The sequence below is a fragment of the Homo sapiens genome, chromosome 9 (assembly GCF_000001405.40).
Source record: "Homo sapiens chromosome 9, GRCh38.p14 Primary Assembly".
Classification (NCBI taxonomy): Eukaryota; Metazoa; Chordata; class Mammalia; order Primates; family Hominidae; genus Homo; species Homo sapiens.
The window spans coordinates 42,473,250-42,480,665 of NC_000009.12; positions in this window are offsets into that span (position 1 = coordinate 42,473,250).

A 7,416-nucleotide genomic window follows, 5' to 3' on the forward strand; every position below is an offset into this window, starting at 1 on the left:
GCTCCAATCACTGTTATGATGTGCTTCACTGACATTCTCTCATGTTCTTACAGAAACACCACATAGTCATGCTTTTTCTAACTGTGGCAGATGCTGCTGTGTTTCTAATCAATATCCATTTTCTTCTTCTTTTAAATTAAAGGGTGCTGCTCTATTCAGTCCCACTTTACTAGGCCTCTGCATTGCACCCCCCCATACTATTGTTGGTAGCTAAGGGCTCACAAGTGCCCTGTTCTCTCCTGAGCACTTCTCCAGACTTAAGGGAGCTGCCTCACCTGGACAACCTGTAGCCAGTGACTGACTGACACATGGTATAAAGAGCTATTCCTCTAGCCTCAACGTCAGGCCAACTCTGTAATGCAATCCATGCTCCAAAACTCTGGGTGTCAGGCTGAGCCAGTCTTGTGTTGAGATCATCCTGGCTTAGGTAGATCTCACCCTTGTCTCACCCTACTTACTATTCCCCTCTCATAAGGTTATTCTCTCAAGAAAAGTTGCTCAATAATTGCTATTGCAGGCTCTGCTTCTATAGAACCCAACCTGACAGACTGAATGCGCTGCAGAAAAAACAATGAAGGCCATTAACAGAAGGAAACCAATTAGGGTATCACTGGAGCCTGGGTGAGTGGTGACCTAACAAGAGCTCACTCCAAAATGGTAGCAGTGGACACAGACAGGAGTTGGATCAACCAGTTCATTTGTTTTCCATAATCATATTTTATTTTCTTTGTAGCAATTGTCACTCTCTGCTATTATAGCATTTTGTGTCTTCTAAAGTTTCTTTGTTTTTTGTTTTTGAGATAGAGTCTTGCTCTGTCAACTAGGCTGGAGTGCAGTGGCATGATCTCCACTCACTGCAACCTCTGCCTCCCAGGTTCAAGTGAGTCTCCTGCCTCAGCCTCCCAAGTAGCAGGGATTACAGGCACGTGCCACCACACCCGGCTAATTTTTTTTAGGGGTGGGTATTTCTAGTTCAGACAGTGTTTCACCATTTTGCCCAGGCTGGTCTCAAACTCCTGACCTCAAGCAATCCACCCACTTCTCCCTCCCAAAGTGTTAGGATTACAGGCATGAGTCACCACGCCTGGTCTCCTTTAAAGTATTTTTAAATATTTACCTTGTTAAAAGTTTTTATCTTCCTTTAAAGAGACATAAGAATGAGGGTCTTTCTTAGGTACTATCATATTCTTTCTGCCCCTAAATCAGTGCTGGCAGACAACTCATGCAAAATACATATTTGTAAATAAGTGAATGAAAAATGAATGGAAGAAGAGTGATTGAGATTAGCTTGAGGCCTATGTGGGATTGAGGGAGCTGATTAGGTTATAAGTTGAGAGAGATCTAGAAATATCAAAAGAACTCTGGAGAATGATCTGTTTGGTATAATAAATTATATACTGGGAACTCAGGAGAGATACTATAAGGCCTAAGACAGTATTTGGGTGACTAAGCCCTTCACTTTAAAAGCTCAGTGTAGTACTTTATGCAAAACCTTGAAACTTACCGTATTTCTTTTTGGTATTTTGGGTGATGCTTAAGAATGTTAAATAAGGAAAGACTCTTTGTGTTACCTGTACTGTGTGTCTATTAGAATTGTAACCTATTTCAGTTTTCGTCTCATCACCAACAAGCTTTTCAAAGTAGTAGAAACTACTTTTTCAGAAGGTGAAGTAATGCTGTTTTGTCCAGTGGGTGATTACTTGCTGTGAATACTTAGTGATCATCTGGCTTGGAAACATGCGTAGGTGTGTATAATAAATGAGACCGCTACTACCTGTTAATTGTACTTTATAATTGCAGTTTATCTCCTCTGTACACCTGCAGAGTCCTGGCTCATATCACAGAGAAAAGGTCGTTACTGTGGCTTGACTGAGAGAGCTCATTTATTAAAGCTCTAAGGGATTGTATTATCAACTTTGTCTCATGTCTTTCTACATTATCTAATATTCTCCATTCAGATGTACACAAAAAATATCCATCTTTTAATGCATAACTGATGTACATATATGCTGTTATTGTTATTGTTAAAGAACTGTAGTTATTTAAAGTTAGTAAAATTAAAGTTATTGTTATGGTTATGCTGTTAAGTTATTGATGGTTAAATCAATAACTTTTAGGCAACAAATTGGTTGATCGCTTATTGTTGATTTTAGGCAGTTGCCAAGCAATATTAATGTCCTAACATTAAGATTAATGGAGTGTATCATTCATTGACTTGATCATTCCCCTCCCATTTCTATTGCCCTGTCCCTTGGGGTGCTGGCATTGGGTTCGTATGCGTGCAATCGAATCTTTTCCGTGGCAGATGCTGAGGAGAAAGTCCTGACAGTGAATAGCCGTGTGTTTAGTCAGGTGTTTACATAGGCTCAAGTAAATGAGAATTTTATGGAAAGTCGATAACACATTTCAATACTTTCACATTCATTTTAGAAAAGTATAGTATGAGAAGAAGAGCTTCGACAAATATTGTGTCTAAAAAGCTAAAAACATCCTGATCTTTGTAACCGAGTGGCTAACAAATAAACTAAAGAAACTCACACAACGCTCAGTTAAAGGAGTCAAAATAAACTGTCATAGAATACACATCATGATGAGGTCTTATTTAGCAATATTATACACCCTTTAATTGCATTTGTAATGTTGACTTAAATGGGAGAATACTGCATTCCTTTGCCTTTTCCTCTCTCTGAAGATTTTGAGAGAAGAAACAGAAGAAGTTGTAGAAAATCAGCTCTGCTTCCTTTTACTAATTGTGAATATAAGCTCACCGTACTCTGGAGTGAAAATAAAAACAATGTTTTAGTTGATTGTATCTACCAATGCCATCTACTCCACATTCTTGCTTTAATTGATAGCTTATTTTAAGAAAACACTATGACTTGTTTGTAGAAAATGTACTTTAAGATCCCAGAAGCATTTAATTCCTCAGGAAAACTTATCAGGATGTCATATAATGATTAAAAAGACATTGAAAATCAGTAATTTTCATCAGCTGATCTGCTTTCTTGGTATTTTATACTGTAATACCCTTTACTATATGTGATCTCTGAATAGATAAGTCAGCTTTCAATGCTCACAGTTTTTAACATAGAGTATTTTTTTTAAACTTTGAGTATTGTATAGATTAGGGACAGTGACTTTCACTGAATGAAACTATACTTACTTCTGGTATAAAGAGAATATATACTCATCTACACATGCTCCACTTTGCACTACAGCTGAAGGACTCTGAAAGCACACCGCTCTGGGTTTTAGCTCGAGGGCATCCCGTGGGTGGGTCACTGAGCAAAAGCATTATAGGACATCCCGTTCTACAAGGAATGAGGACAAAGCCCAGGCTTTTCTGGAAAGTTCCTCTATATATCAAGATACTGCATTCTTAGCACATTCTACAGTTATTCTAAAACTGCAAGCCAGGAAATGGGGAAGGGGAGAAGAAAGCTGGGTCCGCTGAGGCCATCTAGGGGCCAGTCCTCCTCCAGAGGCCGTTAAATTGGTCCAGGAAAGAGAAAAATATGGCTTTGATCAGGGTGGTGACGATGGAGTTCTTAATCAGTGGTAGGGTTTTTGATAGGTTTTGTAAGTGTGATAGAACCAATAAGATTTCTTTCCAGACTGGATGTAGAGTGTGAGAGAAGAAGAGTGGTGATCCCAAAGTCATTAGCTTGGGCACCAGATGGAATTGCCATCAACGGAGATTAAGGAAGAATGATTTGTCCCTTAAATTGCACAGTTGTAGCAATAGATGAGTTTACTAGGAAATAAAACATGTGTTTGCAAAGGACTGGTCTATTTCCTTAAGAAAACAGAAACTAGGCCGGGCGCGGTGGCTCACGCCTGTAATCCCAGCACTTTGGGAGGTCGAGGCGGGCGGATCACGAGGTCAGGAGATCGAGACCATCCTGACTAACACGGTGAAACCCTGTCTCTACTAAAAATACAAAAAATTAGCTGGGCGTGGTGGCGGGCACCTGTAGTCCCAGCTACTCGGGAGGATGAGGCAGGAGAATGGCATGAACCCGGGAGGCAGAGTTTGCAGTGAGCCGAGATCGCGCCACTGCACCAGCCTGGGTGAGACACGAAACTCCGTCTCAAAAAAAAAAAAAAAAAAGAAGACAGAAACTAAAATATTAGTGCTCATTTTATGCCTGTCTTTGTCAAAACACTAGGACATTAAAGAACATGTAGGGCAATACAAACCAAAAACGTAATAAGCATGCAATGCCCATATCCTCCACCCCAGTAAAATAATTCATGTATTCAGCTCGCATCCAAATTATTTATTATTATTATTCTGCCAAAGTGTTTCACACAGGTTGCCATTTTAAATTTTGTTTTTGATGAAATGTCTGTTGAAATGCTCCTTTGGAGAAATGACTGTACTTTCTCTTGATTCCTTGACTAAATTTTCACAGAATCGTTTGATCAGAAACTACATAGAAATGTGTTCACTATTATCCATTAGAGTTTATTAAGCAATGAAAGAAATGAAGGCATAACGATAAAACGTCTGCCCAAATTTCTGAGCAGTCACTTTCTCATTAGAGCTCTTGTATTTGGGGACTCTAATGTGGAAATACCGTGAGAATTTAAAGAACAAATAGTACATCCTCCTCCCTTAGAAGGTATCAGAATTTTTAATTTTTATATTATATTGTATTATACTATATTATATTATTATATTATATTATATTATATTATATTATATTATATTATATTATATTATATTTTAAGACGGAGTCTCTTTCTGTCACCCAGGCTGGAGTGCAGTGGCGCCATCTGGGCTCACTGCAAGCTCCGCCTCCCAGGTTCACGCCATTCTCCTGCCTCAGCCTCCCATGTAGCTGGGACTACAGGCGCCCGCCATCACGCCCGGCTAAATTTTTTTGTATTTTTAGTAGAGACGGGGTTTCACCGTGTTAGCCAGGATGGTCTTGATCTCTTGACCTCATGATCTGCCCGTCTCAGCCTCCCAAAGTGCTGGGATTACAGCTGTGAGCCATTGTGCCCAGCCCAGAAATTTTTTTTAATGGTGAATCTTAAATGGTGAATTTAGATAATAACCTAAGATAATTTTGTAGAAATGCAAAATTTGCAAAATAATTTCTGATCATAAAAGGAGGATAGGTGAAAGCTTATCCCAGGTGGTGTCTGACCTGCTTTGTATCTCTGGATTTTCACACTAGAGTGCAATTATGTGGCATATCCACTCTGATTTTTGCAAGTTTAAGAAGTTACTTTAGACACATTGTAATGTTTCTTTAAGCATATTTCACTCCCATAAATGGGGTAACAACATTCCATATTAAAGTTAGTAATATATTACAATTAAAGTGTCTAATTCTCAGATCCTTTGTAACACATGGGCTACAATAAATCACATACAAAAAAAGTCTTAAATTATTAGAATCTATTATGTAAAATGTGACTAAGAGAATCATGCTAGTTTTCAGTTTATTGCCTCTGATCTCCAAATGCAGTCTTCAATATATGTTCTGTACTAATGGACAGGCATCTTTAAGCATTTCTGCTTACCAGTAAGGATACCAGTAAGCAGAAAGAAGGCTGTTCTGCTCTTTCCAGCTGCTGCATGGCGGGCCAGCAGTGTGGGTATGAGAACATCTGGCGTCATTCTGCCCCAGCGACATGTTCAAAATACACCACCCCTCAGTCCTAGCCTGTCCTAGTGACCACCTTCATGCAGCCCTCTTGAGAGAGACGCTATGTGGTCCAGGTCTCTTGCCCACACTGCCACCCTGATTCCCTCTGCCTGCTTGTCCCTACCTTCCAGACTTGTCTTGTGAGGTCCCCCCGATGCAGCGGCCCTCCTGTCAGGGTTACCATATGCTCTAAGCTTTGTGCTGCACTGGCATTGCAGGGAAGTTTACATTTTCCCCCTGAAGTTTTGATAATGTAAGCCTATAAAACAAACTGAAAATAGGCAGATTAACAGAAGAAAAGGCATACAAATTTATTAACATGCATATGGGCTTGGGTATCACATACAAAGTATTAAACTCAAAGCGAGGGTCAGATGGTTGAAGTTTGTATGCCATTTCGAGGCTACAGAAAGAATGGCAGCTCAGAGCACGGCCAAAACCAGGTTATGGTGGTAAATCAAGTTATGGTGGTGGGACACGTTATGGGAGGGAGAGAAGAGGAGGCCTGGCAGCAAAGCTGGTCTTGTTATGTAGCTGAAACCTCACAGGTAGCAGCCCTCTCAGAAAATAGATGGTAAATGTTTCTTTGAGAAGTTTAAAGGTGTCAGACTAGACTCAGATGAGGAAGGGCCCCAGAGAAACCTGGCTGTATCAAGGCAGATTCTCTATGGATGCAAACCTCCCTCCTGAGGAAAGACAGCTTTTCAGGGCTACTTCTATTTGCAGACCCTCTGAACAGCCATCTCAAAAGATGTCAAAGAAGGATATTTGGGGGTGAAATATTTTGATTTTCTTCACAGGCTTACATTTTACATGGCAGAATCATAATACAAGTATAATTAAATAAAACTAAAGTACAAGTATAATTAAAATGAATACCTAGTCCTATAACAGATACATTCCACAAAAATGTAATTATTAACACCAGGGGCAGTTATATTTCAAGCTCATGCTTCTCAGCTTGTCTGTTCTTGTAGCAGTGTAGGTCAAATCAGAAGATAAAAGCCATAGAGTGATTTCAACAGAAATTTAATATAAAGAATTATGCCATGATAAAAGATTAACTATAGGATATGAGTGAACTCTATAAATTAATCTAGAGCTGATTACTCAAGGAAGAACGAACTTGGAAAGAGAAGCCCTTCCCCAAAGCTGTAGTTAAGACTTTATTGGAGAAGGTGTTTTATCCTACTGAATTACAGAGAAGTCTATCTGTTTACCTGGGTCAGAGCTGGCCTGCAGTCACAGGTGAAGCCGAGCTATGGATTGAATTGCAGCCCGTCCCAATTCATAGGTTAAATCCCTAACCTCCAATTTGGCTACACTGGAGATACAGTCAAATTGTAGGTTAGGGATTTAACATATGAATTCGGACGGGCTGCAATTCAGTCCATAGCTCGGCTTCACCTGTGACTGCGGACCAGGTTAAGCCAAGCTATGGACTGAATTGCTATGACCTGAATTCATTTAGACTACATTTGGAAGTAATTAAAGTGACATTAGGTAATTAAAGTTACACCCCATCAGATTAGGTTGGGGCCCTAATCTGATAGGATTGGTGGCTTTTTATGAAGCCTATAAAACAAACTGATTATAGGCAGATTTTTTTAAAGGCATACACATTTATTAATGTGCATATGGATTTGGGAGTCATATGCAAAGTATGAGGCTCAAAGCAGGGGTCAGATTGTTGAAGTTCTCTCTCCCTCTCTCTCTCTTTCTCTCTCCTTATACATACAGTTAAAGAAGGCCATGT